We start from the raw sequence: 23164 nt of genomic DNA on the forward strand, positions 1-23164 counted from the left end.
GCATACATGAATATCATCAAAAACAACTTTAGAAGTAACAGCTCATATACATCTATGACAACATTATCTCTTGGCCATTGCTATGTCAAATGTTAGTCTTGATGGACACTTAGAGAAAAATTTGAAGATATGTTAGCTACAGCTGAGTTATTATATGAATTAGTCTGAAATTTTTCTACCCCTGATGTAAACACTAACTTTGATAAAATCAAATCTGTTTTCAAATAAGAATCGTTGGAATAACTGGTACCCTGTTTAGTTGATAAATTTTGTGAATTATTGCAAAAGGAAATATGCTCTAGTGGGTAAGTCAAAAACCTATTAAATTGATGACTTATTCATTTATTCAGCAAATATTTTTAAAATATGTTTATGTTCTGGATAAATAAGGTATAACTTGTCTTAAAAGAGCGTAACAGCAGCTGAGTATTAAATAAATAACTGCAATGACTGTGATAAATACCTAAGCGTAGGAACAAAGAATACAGTGAATCATTCTTACTTCAGGGCCATAGGAAATCTTACACATATAAACTTCCTAGCAGGATCTTAAATGAGGAGAAACTTTCTAGGGATTACGGAGGCAAAGAGAAGATGGGGGACATTCCAGAAAGTATCTTGAAGAAATATGGCATACTTGGGGTATACAAGCTGTTCACTGTTCAAATGATCAAATGGAGGGGAGGAGCAGAGAGAGAAATAGGCATGGGTCAAATCACAGAGATCCTTGATTACATGCCGTGTGTGTGTCTGTGTGTGTGTGTGTGTGTGTGTGTGTGTGTACTTAAACTTTCCTATAGCTTCATGAAGCTACCTCTCAAATATTTATTCCTAGGTCTGGCCACTTTCTTGATGTTCAGACACACATTTCCAACTACTTTCAGAGCATTTCATATTGGTACTCCATCAGTGTTTTAAAAACAATGTGTTCAAACTGGAACTTATTCTCTGTCCCTCTCTCTTCCTGTATCAGACTCTTCCAAACCAAAAGCCATTCCACACAACTATAGTAACAAACTTGAATAGATAAGGCCCTTATCCCAAACATTTTCATGAATGTGTGTGTATTAGAAACATATTTTTAAAATAAGTTGAAACTTCTGAAACTGCACTTTCCAACATTGTTTTGACACAAGACTGGTTTGAAAATTTGTGGGAAAGAAATAGTAGGGAGACTGTGCTGATCACAGACTGGATGAGGTAGGCATTTTCTGCAAAAAAAACCCGATATATTCTAGGTAAAAAGATTTAATTTCAGGGAAGAGCAACTTGTTATAAAATTAATAAAGAACCCTGAATAGACTGTCACCAATCTACATTTCCATATATCTGAATATTTCTCCTGCCTCGACCACATGAACAAGCTATTCAAGCAAAAACAAACAAAAACAGGCAAGAGACAGAGGACAGAGAAAGTCAGAAATGCTTGGGAAAGAAATACAAAATCAGTTTGATTTACAATATACTATGGGCAATTTCAGTTATCTTTGGAATATAAATCATGAACAAGAGAAGGTTGGAGTTCTGTTTGTATTGCATGTTGCCACTGTGATACTCACATTGATTCTCCACCATAAAAATTTATTTCTGAACTAAATAAATATTCATCAATAGATATATTACAGAGAAAAAACCTGACTCATTTCTGAAAATTCATGCTGAGAGGAAAATAAACTAATTCACTATGTCTTGTGTGATAGTCATGCATTTTCATTTTCACTTTCAGGGTGTAACACAGTAAATGTTTGTCAGAAATAACACTATCAGGAAATTTGATTATTCAGGAATATATTTGAAGACAGTTGAGCCTAAATATATACAAAACAGTTTAAAGTGAAAAAATTGCAGCAATATATCTCAAGAAGTGATTTTTAGTTGATATGCTCCATTTTCTTACAGTTAAATGTGTCTATAGAAAAGAAATAATTAACCTAAATGTTTTCAAATTTTTGAATGTTTGCTTCACTCATAAAACGCTTAATACTAGTTGGTATACTTGTTTATATAATAACCATTCATTAATATGTTCTGCCTGTAACAAATAAACAATGTCACAGAACAATAATTTTATAAAGCAAGTAAGAAAGTTTTCAATTTTCAGTTTACCTAAAAATTGTTTCAGATAGGTTTTATCATGAAGTCAAAATATTATTTCTTTTGTGTAAATTATAAGTATAGATTTTCCTAATGATTAGTGTACTCTCTAGCACGAGATAAACTAGCATCAGTATTACTATTCTGATAAATATTCCTTATTCATATCAAATTTAATTTGGCTTGAGTAATAAGCCTTTATTTTGATTGTGCTTAGTCTTGATTCTCAGACTTTATTAAATAGACCATGCATATAATTTACTTTCTTTCCATTAAATCACTACTCTCTAGGTCATGAAGGATATAGTCACGAAATTTCACAACAATATTATCTTTATGAGATTTGTTTTCATCATTTCACATAAATTATATCTGTTTAGACTGTCTATTACTAGGTGAAGAATTTCTTTTGTTCAGTTCTGCTGTTACTTTTTTTTTTTTTTTTTTTGAGACGGAGTCTCGCTCTGTCGCCCAGGTCGGACTGCGGACTGCAGTGGCGCAATCTCGGCTCACTGCAAGCTCCGCTTCCCGGGTTCACGCCATTCTCCTGCCTCAGCCTCCCGAGTAGCTGGGACTACAGGCGCCCGCCACCGCGCCCGGCTAATTTTTTGTATTTTTAGTAGAGACGGGGTTTCACCTTGTTAGCCAGGATGGTCTCGATCTCCTGACCTCATGATCCACCCGCCTCGGCCTCCCAAAGTGCTGGGATTACAGGCGTGAGCCACCGCGCCCGGCCTGCTGTTACTTTTTGTATGTACTGATTGATGTGTCTTAAATGATATATATAATATTTATTTGGTGATTTATGATTTTTATTATTTTTTAGTTATTATGTCCTTTCAAGATAATTAGATTTTACAATTTTTACTTTGATAATTGATCTTGGATTCGATCTGAATAAATATATGGCCACATTTAAATATTTTGCTAAAAAGCAGCAGTTTTAGTCTTAATGTATTCGAAGGTCATAATTATATCTTAAATATACATATTAAAATTAATATATGTATATTTTACACATATTAACATGTTTAATCTTTAAAAATAAGCTTATGAAATATAGAATGATACTTCCATTAGCCAGATTTTTACCTGGAAGTAAAGAATATCTATAGACTGAAAGGAGTGCTTCAAATAGAGTAAGAGTGATATGCTATGAGAATACACAGGCCAGGTTTTCTACCCAGGCAGCAGGCAGATGGTAGGGGTGGTTTCCCAGAAGAGACAGAACAGAGCTGAATTTCAGGAATTAACAGCAGCCAACTAGGAGCAAATAAAATGAAAAGTCATTCCCTATTGAATGAACTGTGTATGTAAAACCACAAAAAAAAATAAGAGAAATTACAATATTCAAGAATTGCTAAGGCAGTTCTTGTAGACATAAACCATAGAGAGTGTAGCTGGCAAGAGCAAGAGGTTAGAATGAACAAGACATTTAGGTGCTTATATCACAAAAGCTATATCTCAGCATATTCCTGTGTTGAGGGAGTTACTCCAAAATTTCCCTGTTTCCTAGGTAGCCATATTCTATGTCCCACATCCCTGAATCCTCTCCAAAGTTGAATGGAGTAGGCAGAGCATCTGAACAAAGCCAGCCAGGCAATTTGTAGAACTGATAACCTTTTGGGTTTTATAATCTAGCCATTCTAGATATCTAGGAAATTAATATGCCTATCTCCCTTTATCAAAATTTTTAGTCAGCACTTACGACTGTTCAGATTTGCAGAAGAATCTTGAATGCATTGGACATGGACAGAAACTCCGGGTCTGAAAATAAAAAGCACAGAAAAAAATAAGGTGAATATGCATATATTGGAGATACTATTTTGTGGTCAAGGTCAAAAAAATTGAATTGCATTTAATAAGGAAAAAGAAATATTGCTCATCATCAAATAGTACTGAACAACGGGAAATACAATTTATCTGGCATTACTGATATATTTATGAATATCTGACAGCTAATTAAAATATTTTTAATGTTATTAGGGATAGACTTGGGCTGATATGTAGTATTTATGAGTTGGTCCATTTATAAAACTCTTTTGAAATATCAATCCATATTTTATTGGTTTAATTAGTTTGGATTAATTAGTTAATTAGTGTAGAATTCCTAGGTAGATTTCAAAAAAGATTGATACATATTTTATTCAAGAATCAATCTGTCTGACTTTCAGTTGTATAATTACTTTTCTAAAGCACACACAAATAATGAAAATACTCTAGGGGAGACTGGCATTTGTTATGTAACTACTAAATGATTTATTTATTACCATAAATTAATTAATTTTTAAAATGACTATAAGAGATTTTTATAATCTATAAAGAAAGAAATCAAGATTCAGAAAAATTAAGTAATTAATCCAATATCAAACAATAGAGCCTGTTTCTATACTGGTCTTATTTAAAGATAATATTTTTTCATATATCACTCTACAGAGAATTTCATTGATAAAATGGACATTTGTGCCCTTAAAAAGAATTATACTTTTTAAACATCATAAATTCTCAACTTTCTTTGAAATTCACACTGACTTTGTTACACGAAGTTGAACCCTCTTGCCTTCTACCAAAACCATAGTGCTACACTGATTTCATAACAGGTCATAGTTAGTAATATGTGGTGGGTTCTAGGAATAATAATTTATAATTATACTCATTTCAACTAAAATATGTTTAAAGTAATTACATAGCTGATTTTAAGTCAACTGTGCTCAACTCTGGCTATGCGTTATACTAGAGTGGTAACTTTAAAAATATATATCCTTGCCTAGGGCCCATCATACAGTATTTTTATCAGAAACAATGAAGAAGAAGAAAGCGCATCAGAATTTCATGAAGTTTTCTATGTGATTTGATTGGTCAACTAGAATTGAGAGTAGTACTTTTAAATTTGAGGCTTTTATTCAATATAATACTGGAAGTCTTGGCCAAAGCTGTTAGGTAAGAGGAAGAAAAGTAGGGCGTTCGATTGGAAAGGAAGAAGTCAAATTAGCCTTGTATACAGATGATATGATCTTATATGTGGAAAAAGCTAAAGACTCCACCAAAAAAACCTGTTAGAACTGATAAATGAATTCAGTAAAGCTTCAGGATACAAAAATCAACATACAAAACCAGTTACATTTTTGTATGCCAACAGTAAACATCCTGAAAACAAAATCAAGAAAGTAATCTTATTTACTACAGCTACATAGAATATAAAATACCCAGGAATTGATTTAGTCAAAGATGTGGAATATCTATCTACACAAGGAAAACTATAAAACTGATGAAAGGAATTGAGAAGATACAATGAATGGAAAATTATTCCATGATCGTGCATTAGAAGAATTAATATTGCTAACATGACAATACTACCCAAAGCACTTTATGGATTCAATGCATTCCCTATCAAAATACCAATAACATTCTTCACAGAAATAAAGAAAAATATCCCTCACGTTGGGAGGCTGAGGGAGACGAATCATGAGGTCAGGAGTTCGAGACCAGCCTGGCCGACATAGGGAAACCCCCGTCTCTACTAAAAATGCAAAAATTAACCCGGTGTGGTGGCACGCACCTGTAGTCCCAGCTACTGGGGAGACTGAGGCAGGAGAATCGCTTGAACCCGGGAGGCAGAGGTTGCAGTGAGCTGATATCGTGCCACTGCACCCCAGCCTGGGTGACAGAGCAAGACTTCATCTCAAAAAAAAAAAAAAATCCTAAAATTTATATGGAACTGCAAAATACCCCAGATAGGCAAAGCTGTCCTGAGCAAAAAGAACAAAGCAAGAGTCAGCACACTTCAAATATGAAACTACAGTAACCAAATTAGCATGGAAATGACATAAAAGTGGACACATAGACCAATGGAATGAAGTAGAGAACCCAAATATAAATCTGTACATTTACAGCCAACTCATTTTAAACAAAGGCACCAAAAACTTACATTAGGAAAGAGCAGTTTCTTCCATAATTGGTGCTGGGAAGACTGTATAACTATGTGCAGAAGGATGAAATTAGATCTGTATCTCTCACCATTTACAAAAGTCAAATTGAAATAGATTGAAGATTCTAATCCAAGACCGAAGCTATGAAACTACTAGAAGGACATATTGAAAGAACATCCCAGGACATTGGGTCTGGGCAAAGAATATCTGTGTAAGATCTGAAAAGGACAGACAACAAAACCAAAAATGGAAAAATAGAATTACACCAAGCAAAAAGCTTCTGCACAGCAAAGGGAACAATCAACAGAGTGAAGAAACAACCCACAGAATTAAAAAAAAAAATGTGCAAACTATCCATCTGACAAAGGATTATAACAATATATAAGGTTCTCAAACAACTAAATAACAAAAAACCCAAATAACTCATTAAAAAAATGACAAAAGATCTGAATAGACATTTCTCAAAAGAAGACCATGCAAATGGCAAATAGGTATATGAAAAATGCTCAACATCAATAATCATTAGAGAAATGCAAATCAAAACCACAATGAGCTACCATATCAACCCAGTTACAATGACTATCATCAAAAAGATGAAAAATAGCAAATGCTGATGAGGATGTGGAGAAAGGGGAACTCTTTTATATACTTTAGGTGGGAATGTAAATTAGTACAACCATTATGGGAAACAGTATGAAGATTCCTCAGAAAACTAAACATAGAATTACCACATTTTTCAGCAATTCCTCTATTAGGTATAAATCCAAAAGGAAGGAAGTCAATATTATCAAAGAGATATCTGCACTCCCATGTTTATTGGAGCACTATTCACAATAGCCAAAACATGGAATCAACGTAAGTGCCCATCCATGCATAAATGGATGAAGACAATGTGGTATATATACACAATGAAGTGCTATTCTGCCATAAAGAAAAATAATGAAATTCTGTCATTAACAGCAAAATGGATGGAACTGGAGGTCATTATGTTAACTGAAGTAAGCTAAGCACAGGACAAATATCACTTCATCACTCATATGTGGGAGCTAAAAAGGTAGATCTCATGAACATAGAGAGTAGATTGGTTGAAAGTAGATTGGTTCCCAGAGGCCAGGAAGGGTAGGGAGGAGTGTGGAATAAAAAAAAGTTGATTAATGTGTACAAATATACACTTAGAGCACTTTGGGAGGCTGAGGCAGGAGGATCACCTGAGGTCAGGAGTTTGAGACCAGTCTGGCCAACATGGAGAAACTCCATCTCTACTAAAAATACAAAATTAGCCAGGTGTGATGGCGCATTCATGTAATTCCAGCTACTCGGGAGACAGGCAGGAGAATCACTTGAACCCAGGAGGTGGAGGATGCGGTGAGCCAAGATCGCGCCATTGCACTCCAGCCTGGGCGATAAGAGCAAAACTCTGTCTCAAACAAACAAAAAACAAATACACACTTACACAGAATAAAAAAGACCTGGTGTTCAATAATACCAGTCGGGTGACTATGTTAACATTAATCTATTGTACATTTCAAAACAGCTAGAAGAGAAAAATTTGAATATTCCTAGCATAAAGAAAAATATTTAGTTACGGGCGCTCAATTACCCTAATTTAATTATATAAATGTAACAAACTATATGTACCCCCAACGAATGTACATCTATTATTATATGTCAACAAAAATAAATAAAAATTTTAAAGTCTCAATGTAAAAAAATTCAGTCTGAGTGATAATGTCCAAAATCTAACATGAGAGGATAATGTAACAAACTGATAGGTTTTTGGGTTTTTCTTAGCTTACTGTGCTGTGCAATGGCAACTTGATGCAGTTGTCACTTGTTATAATCTACTGAGTGAATAGATTCCCCTGTACGGGATAATGTTTCAAACTGTGTTGCTAATCTATCCAGTGTATGACTTTCAAAATGACATATGGCATTTTGCCATTTTAAAGCTATTTAAGTAACAACAATTCTTTCCATTAGTATATGAACAAAAATTTCAATTATTTAAATTATAGGTGCACACAGTTAAATTGCCTCTTTCTCGCTTTTGTTTTAATAAATGTACAATATGTACTTTATATAATACAAAATATTATGTTGTTATTTCAAAACCATTGATTTTAATGGATAAGTGATTGATTTTACAAAGTGCCTATGTACTTATAAACACAGATTTAAAGTAATGATATATGAGGAGCAATCTAATTTTCTCCCTGAAGAAAAATAACATTATTTAAGTGCAAATATATAAATAATTTAGTAGAAACAAACAAAAGGCAAGTAGAAAACACATGATAAGATCAGACATAGTGAATATAGCTATGTGATGTTTGAAATAGGATTGTTAGAGAGGGAGACAGAAATCTTTAAGTCTTATTAGCTTACACACTTTCCACTAATGTAGATGAAATCTATATGAAATTCACATGATAAACCGTTTTTATCCTCATTTATGCACTTTTTGAAACGTTTAAATATAATTCAACCAAAACGTTATGATATATTGCATAATTTCTATGTAGTATACTGTTATAATATCTCAAGATTCATTAGGAAATGGAACTTATAACTCATATGTTTCATAACTTCTCCTCTAGTAACAGAACAGATTACATATACAATATCTGTTATTACTTCAATTGTATAAAATCCAATATTCATATTAGTACTTCTAATGAGTTAGTTTTGTAAAAATAATATAAGGATTAAATACTATATATTACTTTAGTATTATACATATTATTAATATATATAAACATATTACTTCTTGAGTGTATTTCCTACAGATTAATTGTTGTTTATTGTGATTGCTCTGTGCTTTTCATATTCATGAATCTTAGAAATTAGAACTTGGGAAAAAGTAATATTTGCCACAAAAAAACATCTTTTTTATTATTTTATTATTTTATTTTTTTATTTTTGAGATGGAGTCTCGCTTTGTCACCCAGGCTGGAGTGCAGTGGCACAATCTCGGCTCACTGCAAGCTCTGCCTCCCAGGTTCACACCATTCTCCTGCCACAGCCTCCCGAGTAGCTGGGACTACAGGCGCCCACCACCGCGCCCTGCTAATTTCTTGTATATTTAGGAGAGACGGGGTTTCACCATGTTAGCCAGGATGGTCTCGATCTCCTGACCTTGTGATCCACCCGCCTTGGCCTCCCAAAGTGCTGGGATTATAGGCATGAGCCACTGCGCCAGACCAAATAACATATTATTTTCTTTATAAAAATGGTGATACCTTAGAGGCATCAACTACATATTCTATAAGAAATTGACATTAAATAATTGACTAAGGAAACATAAGAAATTTATAGGAATAATTACCAGTTACAAATTAATAACATAAAAAGCTCACCAAACACCAACTTTACATATTCATTTGTCCATCTACATATAGGATAAAGGCATTTATGTCCTGTAAACATAAAGCAACATTATGAAATAATGCATTATTTAGGGCATACTTTGTAAAAAGAACGACTGGTCTCAGGAAAAAGAAGTTTTAACATTTGAAGTTGCCTAAACAGTGTTATTACATGTTCTTTTTCTTTTCATATTTACCTGGCAATTGCTTTAAAATATTTTGATATGTTCACTTTATTAACATATTTCAACTGGAAGAGTTTTTAATTATTAAAATTTATTTCCCTGACTATATTTTTTCTTATTTCACACTGTTCTTTTAAATCTTACAAAATACTCCAAATATCTTTTTAAAAAATATATAAATATCAGAATCTACATTTAGAGTCTCTTTTTTCTTTGTAAGCATACATATATATTCACACAAACACATAAAATTAAATACATATGACAAAATTAAAGACATTCTTTCAGTGTATACTCTTTGCATTTGACAACAAATTATTTTTTTGTGTCTGACTAAAGTTTATATTGAAGAAAAATGAGAATTTGAAAGAAGGCACCAAGACAAATTGAATGTGTATTTAATGTTCTTTTGTATTTTATATTTAAATTTAATGTAATTAAAAAATTAAACCAATCACATTTAACATCATTTTTGGATAAAGCATTTTTGGTGAATGGAACTCTAGGGAGCGACATTCACCTTAAATGTACTTCTAAGTTTGACACCAAGCACACTATTTTGTCCTTCCCAAACAGATTCATGCATTTATAACTTCATTTATCATTGTTTTCATTGACTCTTATTAAAGTGTATTTTGCTAAGCCTTCATATTTTGAAGTTTCATTCTACCAAGTGAAATTGAATTGCAAATATGAAATTTTGTTGTGTATGTTATTTTTAAGAAAAATTATCCCTTAAACTGACCTTCTACTTGAGTTCATTTTGTTCAATCTAATTAGTCTCAATGAGATTTTGCCATTTATTATAAGCTAGAATGAGTCTTTTCCAGAGGGTGATATTATATAGTTTATGACAATGGAACTAACTATGGAACTAATTAACCATACCCACTGTCCTTTCTTAGAATTCCTATGATAGAGTGCTTATCTGTTTTTGCAGTACCACTTTATCTCACTATCTAAAAACTAAGTTGTCTCTTAGTTGTCCAGCTATCTTTCACAGCATCTCTGCAAAGATTATTCATCAAATACTTTAAAATAGAAGTTTCTATTTTAATTTGATTAGGTTTTTCCTGAATGACTAAGGATGATTTCAATATCCATGAATGTAAAACTGGTTGTAATGCCCCTTGATTCTGTCTATCTTGGAAGACAAAATGTCCAGCCTGTGACTTGTATAGAATAACTTTTCTGTTGTTATACTCTGAGGTTACCAAGTCACCTGAATATGAGTTTTTTAGTCACTGGATGAAAATTAACATGAGAACCACCAGAACTTTTGAAACACAACTACAAGTGAATTTTATAATGTTTTAGGTTTAAATATCATTAACTCAAGGACAATTTTAAGAAATTTTTCCATGTATGCAGCTGAGTCATGTAAACAAGTAGAGCTTACGAACACGAAAAATTCTCCTCCTACTGTTCACACTTTATAGGCAACATTAATTTTATAGGTCATTTCTCCTGCCCAGGATGCCAGACATAGAAAGGAAATTGACTGAAAATCTCACCAAAACTGAATATAATAAAATAGTCAATAAACTATCAAGAAAATAGCACCTTCAGCAAAAATACATCAGGAACACACCTTGAAGTTAACAAGTATTACCTGTTGCAGCGAGGGACAATATATAACATGGGGAAGATGCGTTTCTCAGTAAAAGTTATTAGAGTAAAACTTCCATAGTATTTGCACTTTGGTTAGGTAATTTATGAGAGTGCCTAAGGAAGCAGGGATTTGCTCTAAATTCAATGCTGGCATTAATTAGGGGCAATTCTATCATTCAGTATCTCAATGAATCTTACCTATAAGGAAGAAAGCCTGGAATGAAGATTAAACTGTATTTGTTGCAGAATTCACAATCACTCATTTTAGCCAAGAGAGGAGACTTTTTGAAATAGCTTTGTTTTTTTCTCTATTTATAAAAGTTTCAGAATATCCTTATCCAATCTTAGTATTCTGCAAGATGGTTTATGTCCAACTGGGGAACAAAATGGTCAGCTTGTAATGAGTAATACTGACATTTAGGTGGAAGCATCAGATCAGTTTCAGATAACAGAGGCTACTGTTATCTTTCTTATTAAGAGTAAGTCTTCAATTTCTTAAGACTATGCTGTGAGAACAACTAAGAAGGGTCGTGTCACCTGCCTCCACAAGTTGTCACTGTGGTTGCTGTCAGCCAGACTCAAGTCACAGCAACAGGCGATGTTATCACTTGGATTTCCATCACTTTATTTATTGCAGTGGGTTATTGTTTGTTTTCTCTTCATTGGCAATTATTTTTCCTTTAGAAGAGTAATTTTGCACCTTCCCACTTTACATGGAATACACTTTGAATGTTAAATACTTAGAAAATATAAGGAATGAGTAATAAAAACCACTTCTAATTCCACCATGTAGATTTGTTAATATTTTGACTTGCATGTTCCCAGTGCCCATGCATACATACACACACACCCCTCCATGCATTTATATACCTCTATAGGTAAAAAATTTGACCAAATAAATGCTCTTATATACCTCAAAAAGGTCTAACAACTGAAATTGTGAAATATTTGACTAGTGACTAAAAAATTAGTGGTGCCCCAACTGCAGAAATTTTAAGCTTGGTTTGAAAAGGGATGCTGTAGAAAAATAATTCCTGCTCATGATGGGCTTGTAGACTGGTTTCATTCTTCCATGTATGTGAGAGTATGACTGTATACAAATTTTCATCAATGTATAACCTATAAAGGTGAAAGCACGTTAACCAAGTAAACACACCCATATAATTACCATTTAAATAAAGACATAATGCAGTATGAGCCCCAGGAGTACTCTTTTCTTAAATTTTTAAATTTTAAATTTTACATTTTTGTGGGTACACAGTAGGTGTATATATTAATGGGGTACATGAGATACTTTGATACAGGCATGCAATGCATAATAATCACATCATGGTAAATGGAGTATCCATCCTCTCAAGCATTTATTATTTTTGTTAGAAATAATCCAATTATGCTCTGATTTTTGGTTCTTATGATGATGCTTTTTTGTATGTTGTATTAGTCCATTTTCACACTGCTGATGAAGACATACCCAAGACTGGGTAATTTACGAAAGAAAGAGGTTTAATCGGACTTACAGTTCCACATGGCTGGGGAGGCCTCACAATCATGGCGGAAGGCAAGTAAGTCACATTATACATGGATGGTGGCAGGCAAATAAAAGAGAGCTTGTGTAGAGAAACTCCCATTCTTAATACCATCAGATCTCATGAGACCTGTTCACTATCATGAGAACAGCACGAGAAGAACCTGACCTCATGATTCGATCATCTCCCATGGGGTCCCTCCCATAACACATGAGAATTAGGGGAGCTATAAGATGAGATTTGGGTGTGGACACAGCACCAAACTGTAAGATTCTTCCCCTGTCAAATCTCATATCTTCACATTTCAAATCCAGTCATGTCTTCCCAGCAGTCCCCCAAAGTCTAAACTCATTTCAGCATTAACTCAAAAGTCCACAGTCCAAAGTCTCATCCAAGACAAGGCAAGTCCCTTCTGCCTATGAGCCTGTAAACAAATCAAAAGCAAGTTAGTTACTTCCTAGATACATTGGGGGTACAGGCATTGGGTAAATACAGACATTCCAAATGGGAGAAATTTGCCCAAACAAAGGGGCTACAGGCCCCATGCAAGTCCGAAATCCAGCAGGGCAGTCAAGACTTAAAGATCCAAAATGATGTTCTTTGACTCCATGTCTCATATCAAGGTCACGCTGATATAAGAGGTGGGTTCCCATTATCTTGGGCAACTCTGATGCTGTGGCTTTGCAGGGTACAGCCACTGTCCCAGCTGCCTTCATCAGCTGGCATTGAGTGTCTGCAGCTTTTCCAGGGGGACAATGCAAGCTGTCAGTGGATCTACCATTCTGGGGTCTGAAGGACTGTGGTCCTCTTCTCATAGCTCCAGTAGGCAATGGCCCAGTAGGGGCTCTGTGTGGGGGCTCCCACCTCATATTTCCGTTCTGCACTGCCCTGGCAGAAGTTCTCCATGAGAATCCCACCCTTACAGCAAAATTCTGCCTAGGCATCCAGGTGTTTCCATACATCTTCTGAAATCTAGGTGGAGGTTCCCAAACTTCAGTTCTTGACTTCTGCATACTCTCAGGCTCAACACCATGTGGAAGCTGCCAAGGCTTGGGTCTTGCACCTTCTGAAGCCATGGCCTGAGCTCTATGTTAGCGCCTTTCATCCATGGCTGGAGTGACTGGGACACAGGACACCAAGTCCCTAGGCGGCACACAGCTTGGGCACCCTGGGCCTGGCCAACAAAACCACTTTTTCCTCCTAGGCCTCCAGGCCTGTGATGGGAGGGACTGCCAGGAAGATCTCTGACATGCTCTGGAGACATTTTCCCCATTGTCTTGGGGATTAACATTCAGCTCCTCATTACTTATGAAAATTTCTGCAGCTGGCTTGAATTTCTCCTCAGAAAATGGAATTGTTTTCTTCCATTGCATTGTCAGGCTGCAAATTTTCCAAAGTTTTATGCACTGTTTCCCTTTTAAAAATGAATGCCTTTAACAGCACCCAAGTTACCTCTTGCATACTTTGCTGCTTAGAGATTTCTTATGCCAGATACCCTAAATTATCTCTCTGAAGTTCAAAGTTTCACAAATCTCTAGGGCAGGGGCAAAATGCTGCCAGTCTCTTTGCTAAAACATAACAAGAGTCACCTTTGTTCCAGTTCCCAAAAAGTTCCTCATTTCCATCTGGGAACACCTCAGCCTGGACTGTATTGTCCATATCACTGTAAGTATTTTGGGCAAAGTCATTCAACAAGTCTCTAGGAAGTTCCAAACTTTACCACAATTTCTTGTCTTCTGAGCCCTCCAAACTGTTCCAACAGTTTGGGTAACAGCCTGTTACCCAGTTCCAAAGTTGCTTCCACATTTTCGGGTATCTTTTCAGCAGCGCCCCACTCTGCTGGTACCAATTTACTGTATTAGTCCGTTTTCACACTGCTGATAAAGACATACCCGAGACTTGGCAATTTACAAAAGGAAGAGGTTTAATTGGGCTTACAGTTCCATGTGGCTGCAGAGGGCTCACAATCACGGTGGGAGGCAAGGAGGACCAAGTCACATCTTATGTGGATGGTGGCAGGCAATCAAAAGAGAGCTTATGCAGAGAAACTCCCATTTTTAAAACCATCAGATCTTGTGAAACCCATTCACTATCACAAGAACAGCACGGGAAAGACCCACCCCCATGATTCAGTCATCTCCCACCAGGTCCCTCCCACAACACATGGGAATTATGGGAGCTACAAGATGAGATTTGGATGAAGATACAGAGCCCAACGTGTCATATGATAATATAAAAAAAAATTATATATATTAACATAATATATAATATAATATATTTGGATATATATATTTGGTTATCCAAATATATATAATATACATATCCAAATATATATAATATATTATATATTAATATATAACATAATATAATATATATCCAAATATATATATCCAAATATATATAATATATTTGGATGAAGATACAGAGCCCAACATGTCATATAATATAAAAAATATATATAATATATAATATATATTATATATTATATAAATATATATTAATATAATATACTACATATAATATACAATATATAATATATATTTTATATAATATATAATATGTATATATAATATAAAATATCATATGTACTTAGTTGTTTAAATTTGGTTTTTGTTTTTTATTTGTTGGAAAGTGTCTTTTGATCTGTTAAAGAAATATTTGCCTAATCTGAGGATAGGAAGTTAATGGGTGACACTATTTTTAGAAGGTATATTGCCTATCATCTATTAATGTAAAAGCCACTGGAATTTATTTGGGATTATTTCCATTTTGGATATTTTCATTTTAGATAGATGTCAAGACTCATAATTTTACCTAGTTATCCAGTTAAGATAGAAATATTTATTGATCATTACTCATTGTATGCATGCATTAAAATATCACATGTACCTTATAAATATTTACAAACACTATGAATCAATAAATAAACTGGTTCCTAGTCCCCATTTGGGACAACAGAATTTCAGAATTTTTGAGACATGTGACCTATGCAATGGGATTTTTCAACTCTCCCATGATATTCTAATATCCAGCCAGGGCTGAAAACTAGCCTGCATGTAAGCTTCATGAAAGAAGATACTTTTGTCTATTTCTGTGTTGTTCACAGATGTATATCCAAATGCCTAAAACAGTCCCTAACACCCCGTCAATGCTTAATAAACATTCGTGGAATGAAATTGAAAAGTATTTATTGAAGATTATCCATTGGTAATCTTTGCAATGCTATGTGCAATATATATCAACTGTTCATAGATGTGTAGGTAAATTCTATAACTCTATTCTGTTATATAAAAATTTTTTATGATACTTCAATATGTTAATTAAAACAGCTTATAGTAATTCTGTTAGTATTGGTTCTCCTTTTTTTCTTCTTTAAGATCGTCTTCATTATTTTTCCTCTTCTGATATGTAGGAATGCAATTAATTTTGTATTTTGACCTTGTATCTAGAAACCTTGTTAAAATACTTTTTAATTGTAAAAGATGATTTGTAGATTAATTTGGACATTTTATTGTTAATATATTAACTTTGAATAATGGCTTTTATTTTTGTATTGGTCAATCATTAAACTTTCATTTTCTTCTTCTCTTTTGTGCCAAACCAGACATTTAGTACGTTGATAAAACTGATGATTTCAGGAAGCTTTGTCTTGTTCTTAATTTCAGAAAAGGGGAGGATGTTTTTAATTCTTCACCTTTAACCATGATGTTAATTGCTTCCATCTGTGATTGTTTCCTTTCTGACTTAATAACTTCCTTCAATATTTGCATTTATGTCAATCATCTGGTAAAAATTTCACCCAACCTTTATAGTTTTCCTTCACTTTTGAAAGACACTTTTCATGATACAGAAATCTAGTTTGTCAGTTATTTTCTTTCATCACTTTGAAGATGTACTTATTCTGGGTTTTTTTTTCTTTATTTTTCTTCTGGCTACTTTCTTTTATTTTTTGGTTGCAAGCTTGATTTTATTTGCGTTTTTCTTGCTTAAACGTGTCTTGAAACTATGGCTTTATGTCTCTTATTAGTTTTAGAAAACACTCAGCTATTATCCCATATATTTTTTTCTGACTCATTCCACTCTGCTCACTTCTTTAGAGTCTAAGTACATATATTTTAGATGTTTTTATGCCTTGTCCTATACATCTTTTATTTTTTCCTACATTTAGCTTAATTTCTGTCAATTTCTTCCTTAGTGTATACAGTTTTCTATGACCTAACTTTTATTTTGTTAATAAACTCTTTCATATTGCTAAATTTCCAATTAAATGTATTGTGGTCCTAATCTTAATTTCTATATTTCTAAGTTCCAGATTTTCTATTTCATTCTATTTTATGATTTTTAATGTTCTTTATGTGTTCTTTGTCTTCATATTCAACTTTTTGTATATTAATCACAATTATTTTAATCCTCATGTATATTAACTTTAATAACAGTCTCCTTTAATTCTCTTTCCATTATCTGCTTATTCTTCAATATTTTGGTAAATTCTTGCATTTCTGCATTCTTCATTCATGGAAAATATGTATATAAAACCATAAAAATTGAAGTTCTGATGAATTTTATTTTTTTTTAAGACAGAGTCTCACTCTGTCACCCAGGCTGGAGTGCAGTGGTGCGATCTCAGCTCACTGCAACCTCCGCCTCCCAGCATCAAGTGATTCTCGTGCCTCAGTCTCCTGAGTAGCAGAGATTACAGGCACATGCCACCACACCAGGCTAATTTTTGTATTTTCAGTAGAGATGGAGTTTCACCATGTGGGCTTGGCTGGTCTTGAACTCCTGGCCTCAAGTGATCCACCAACCCCAGCTGCCCAAGGTGCTGGAATTAGAGGCATGAGCCACCACTCCCAGCCAATTTTTATGTTCTTCCAGAGTCTACTTATCTTTATTTTGTCAGACCTTAGCATAGGGGCTGATTACCCTAATCCAATCAGGAAATGATATGCCTGTTAAGCCCAAGACACTCTTCGTTAGTGGGTTTTAACTTCAAATTTTGCCCCTCAGACCCAGTGACTGCCACCTCAGCTTCTCAGCTGTTGCTTTTCCTTTGGCTTCATAGACACATTTTGAATCAGCACATGTCTAGAGACATCAGAACCAAATGTAGGGGTCAATTCTCTGCATTTCCTTTATCTTTTTAAATATGCCATCTTTGATATCTCTTTCATGCTTTTGAAACTCTCCAGTGTCTTGAATTCTTTTTTTTTCAAATTTTCCACCTTCCATAGTCATTTTCAGTGAGAATTTAGCCTGAAACAAACCGAAACAACCTATTCTACATTGCTTCGAGCAGAAATCTTTTTAATTTCTTTTTATTTTTGTCCTTCATAATTTTCAGTTTCAACAGATTGTATAATTGGTAAAATTTTATATGTTCCTCCACTATACTAACAAGAGCAGAAACCAATCACTTCTCAGAAATTCCCACAAAAATTTCAATACCTGAAACTGACTTTGCATGCAGTGCTCACTGGGGTCCAGAGTTGTAGAGGTAATGAGGTGATGGGTGCAAAAGCACCACTTGCTTCCACTTAAATTATTTCCTGTACCCAAGTGCCTGTACTATAAGTCCAAAGATCTATATAAAACAGTGATATCAAAAACAAATATTTTCCAGAAAGAATATTTATGAAAATTCTACTAAAAATAGCTCACAACATCAAGAACCAGAAAAAGCACAAACTGAATGAGCAAAGGCAATCAACTAATGCCAATACAAAGATATTTTATATGTCAGGATATACGGGGAAGTATTTTAAAACAGTCATCATAAAAATGTTCCAAGAAACAATTTTACATTCGTTTGAAACAAAAAAGTAGAAATCTTGGCAAATAAATGTTTTAAGAATAAACCAAATGGAAATTATAACGCTGAAAAATATAATGACCAAAATAAAACTTGATGGGTGGACCCAATAGTAGACTGGAGATGACAGGGGATAGACTCAGTGGTATTGAGGACAGATTAATAAAATTGACTCAATCAGGAATCTGTGCTACTTTTAAGTTTGGTAAAAACTTTACAGTAGCAAGAGATAAGTGACACATTGCCAACACGGGAATGCCAATTTGGATTATTACTGATTTCTAATCTGAAATCACAGGAAACAGAAGAAAGTGGAACATCTTTCAAGTGCTGAAAGAAAACATCTATTTATTTATCTATAAAATACACATGCACGCTTATATGTGTATTGGAGAGAGATATATATCCAGTATTCATTCTATCAGAGTCCTGGAATAAGAAGAGAAAAACAGTAGGGTAAATAGAATATCCAAATAAATAATAGATGAATCCTTCCCAAAACTGGTGAGACAAATGAAAACTATTCAAGCAGCTAAATAATCCCAAATAAGGTAAACCCAAAGAAATCTATATCAATACACAAAATAATGAATCTTCTCAAAACTAAAGACAAAGCAAAACAACTTAAAAGTAGCAAGAGATAAATGACACATTGCCAACAGGGGAATGCCAATTTGAATTACAGCAGATTCCGATCTGAAATCACAGGAAGCAGAAAAAAGTGGCACATCACTTTTCAAGTGCTGAAAGAAAATAACTATGTATCTATGTATGTATCTGTCAAGATAAAGATACTGTATTAGTCCATTTTCATACTGCTATGAAGAACTGCCTGAGACTGTGCGATTTATAAAGGAAAGAAGTTTAATTGACTCACAGTTCAGCATGGCTGAGGAGGCCTCAGGAAACTTACAATAATGGTGGAAGGTGAAGGGGAAGCAAGGCACCTTCTTCACAAGGTGGCAGGAAGGAGAAGTGCCGAGCGAAAGGGAAAGAGTCCCTTTTAAAACCATCAGATCTCGTGAGAACTCACTATCATGAGAATAGCAGCGGGGGAGACCACCCCCATGGTTCAATTACTTCCACCTGCTCTCTCCCTTGACACATGGAGATTATGGGGATTATGGTGATTACAATTCAAAATGAGATTTGGGTTGGGACACAAAACCTAACCATATCAGATATGTCTGGCAAGATAAATATACCTATGAATAAATATATTTGATCTTAAATATAAAATGTTTTATCTGGTAAAAATATCTTTTACGAATGAAGGGGAAATAAAAATATTTTCAGATTGAGGAAACTAAGATAATTTGCCTGTAGCATATCTACCATTAAAGAGTGGTTAAACAAATTTCATCAAACACAAATAAAACGATTTAAAAAAAGAATAGTGGAGCATCAAAATGAAGAAAAATGATAAGAGCAAAAAGATGGGCACACACAATAGACTATCCTTATCCTCATGAATTTTATACATTATATTTGATGATTGAAACAAAAATGATAATACTATCTGATACTCAAGGCAATAATATTTAAAGTAGGGTAGGGTAGAGTGAGCTTAAATGAAATCAAATTTCCAAACTTCACTTGATACTACTAGATTATGGTAAGTCACAAGGTATTCTGTGACTAGTGACTACTAATTAAAGTATATTGAAAAACACTATAAATCACTGAAGATAAAATTCTAAAAAATGTTCACACAATCCACAGAAAAGAAATGAGGAATAGCGGAATAAAAATTAGAAGAAACAAATAAAATACAAATAATAAAATAACAGAATTTGTAATAACAAAAACCTGAAAATAACCTAGTTGCCCTTAAATGAATGATATAACCTATGACACATTTATACCATTATGTACTTTTCAGCAACCAAAAATAACCAGTGATTAGTACATAGAAGAACTTTGGATGATCTCAAGAGAAAAGTACTGAGTAAAAATGCATCAATCCCAAAAGATTTAACATTGTATATAAATTCATTTACATAGAATTATTGAAATGACAAAATTATAGAATAGAAAATGGATTAGTTTTGCCATGGATTAGGACTTGGGAGGGTGGGCAGGGAGATAGGTATGGTAATAAAAGTGCAACACAATAGATCCTGCGGTTATGGAACTATTCTGTGTGTTGACTGGGTGATGAATACATAAATCTACACGTGATACAATTTCACAGATGTAAATACACACACATACAAATGAATAAAAGTGACCTTAGAAAATCTGAATAAGAGTGGCAGATTGTATCAATATCAATACCTGGTTGTAACATAGTTCTATAGTTCTGTAAAATGTTACCATTAGAGAAAACTGAGTAAATGGTACACAGCATTTCTCTGTGTTACTTCTTACAACTCCATATGAATGTACAATTATCTCAAAATGTACAATTATCTCAAATTAAAAGTTTCTTTAAATAATGAAAAAAATCAGCAATTCATTTCTATTTTAAAATAATGTTACCTACCTAAGTGATTACTTTGTTTTTTACCTAGATGGGTATTTTTGCCTTAAATTATTTTTGCCTTTTGTCCAGCAAAGAATTGTGCTATTTTTGTAAGCTCTAAATCAATCATTTAAAACGGTTATCAAATCAAGCAAAAATATAAACAACAGATTTTCTACACAATAGATCAATGTCACCTTGATCCTCTTATTTGTTTTCATCAAAATAGAGAAAAGTTGAGTGAAGTGTAAACTTAATGATTACAATGTCCTACATTTGAAGATTCTTGGGCAATAGCTCTAGAAAAGAGGGAAAATTAAGATCTATACTTCTTTTTGGTAGATCATATTATTATTCAAAATGTCCAGTCTCCCTTTATACATCTTGCTACAGAATAAGCATATATTTTAGATCACAGAATTGAGACTTGGTTATCTGAATTGCTTTGTGAAATAAAATGTGAGTAATAAAGAACCTGTAACATGCGCCACTTAGAAACATTAAGAGCCATCTCATCATCTGGCACATCTCCCTGTTCCCCCTGCCATCACCCTTAGTTTCAGAGTGAAGAAAATATACAGTTGATCCAAGACAGATCTGCCATAGCAAAGAGAAATAAACATTTTATTGTTAGCTATTGGAATTTGAGGACGTTACTTTGTTTTGGACTAATGTAGCCCAAGCGAACTGATATTCTTTAATTTGAGTGCTATGTCCAAGCACTTATATGGAAACTAAGGATTGATTCAGGCTCATGAATTCATGCATATACCTGGGGGCCACCTGCTCCACATAAATACCTTTTCCAGGGAACTTGACTCCAGTTTCTATAAACAAAATAATTTAAACTACATTTATTATGGAAATAATTATAATGTGTATATTAATGACCACCTTTTTTAATATTGAATATTTCTCACAGTTTTTGATAAGGCACTGCCAAAAGAAACTTTATTCATTAATATTAACTGAATAAAAATAGTTGTGAGTCTACCTTGGAGTTTTTTTTCTTTCCTGTCTACTGGTTGTCCTTTCTTTTACTGCCACTATGTTCCATCTCTGACAGCATCTTTATTTCTTCTCTTTGGGCTCTCTGTTTTTTTTGTTGTTGTTGTTTTTGTTTGTTGTTGTTGTTGTTGTTGTTTGTTTCTAACCAACTATGAACTGGGGGACCAAGAAAACATAAAGGCAATGATTGAAGTCAATAATTATTTCATTTGTGAAAACTCTAATTGTTCATTTCTCTTATGCTTGGATTCTTGGTTATGGTACAGATTTTGAAATTATTCCAGTTACTTACAACATTATCATATCTGATAGGTATTTGCATGTAAAACATTAACATCTTATAAAAACATAAATAAAATAATTTTTGATTTGTATGACTTATTTGAATATTTGCTAAAAGGAAAAAGAAACCCTCTGAATCTGCATGTGCAATCAAGGGACATATTAAGAAATCTTAGAATTTGAGATCAATTTCTTGAGGAGTAGGACCATTTTTTTCTATTTCCATAGAAAAATTATCATATTTCAGTATAAATTATCAGTATTCACCTTACAAATATAATTCAGTAAAGGACGCAGGCATACAAGGCGTGAAGTTAAAAGCAGAGGTTTAATAGGCAAAAGAAAGAGAAAAGCTTTCTCTCCTGCAGAGAAAGCGGGGCTCCCAAGTGGGTCTTCTGGCTACATGGTGAAATGCACGGGGTTTTATACATGAGCATGAGGAGGTGGTGTCTGATTTACATGGGGGACTAGAGGCTGGTCAGACCAGGTGGGCCATTTGCATAGTATGCAAAGGAGATGGCCACCCCACTCTAATCTTTTATTATGCAACTGGGTTCTCTACCTGGCTGGAATCATGTTGTCTATTTTACTGTACCCATGGTTGACAAAGAAAAAGGAAGATGGAACCTCCATGTTGAGTTTGCCTGCCCCCCCAGGTAGCCTTTTCCTATTGGTACCGCTGCTGGCTTTTCTATGTCTGCAGCTTGATTTTTCAGGCTGCTGTTTGTTAGAAAAGAAATGATTTGGGGGCTGCTTTTTATTAAAACGGAAACCTTGCCAAGGACTCTTTTATCCTCACTAACTGCCTAAATAATTTCTTTCTAGCTCCAGAATATATTTGTGAGGTGAATAATTTCTTTCTAGCTACAGATATTTGAGATCTGTATTCAT

General features: G+C 33.9%; 1 long non-coding RNA gene across 3 annotated transcripts in view; it reads right to left on the bottom strand.

The window, feature by feature from the left end:
• LOC105373696 (uncharacterized) overlaps positions 1 to 22121 on the bottom strand; it is a 104051-nt gene extending 81930 nt beyond the window's left edge. For all 3 annotated transcript variants that reach the window (XR_001739743.1, XR_001739742.1, XR_007088683.1), the window contains exons 1-2: positions 21978 to 22121; positions 3803 to 3861 (exon numbers count right to left, since the gene is read on the bottom strand). This is a non-coding gene — a long non-coding RNA (uncharacterized LOC105373696). The remainder of the gene's footprint in view (positions 1 to 3802; positions 3862 to 21977) is intronic.
• Between the last annotated feature and the right edge of the window lie 1043 nt (positions 22122 to 23164).

Source organism: Homo sapiens, chromosome 2, assembly GCF_000001405.40.
Source record: "Homo sapiens chromosome 2, GRCh38.p14 Primary Assembly".
Taxonomy (NCBI): domain Eukaryota; kingdom Metazoa; phylum Chordata; class Mammalia; order Primates; family Hominidae; genus Homo; species Homo sapiens.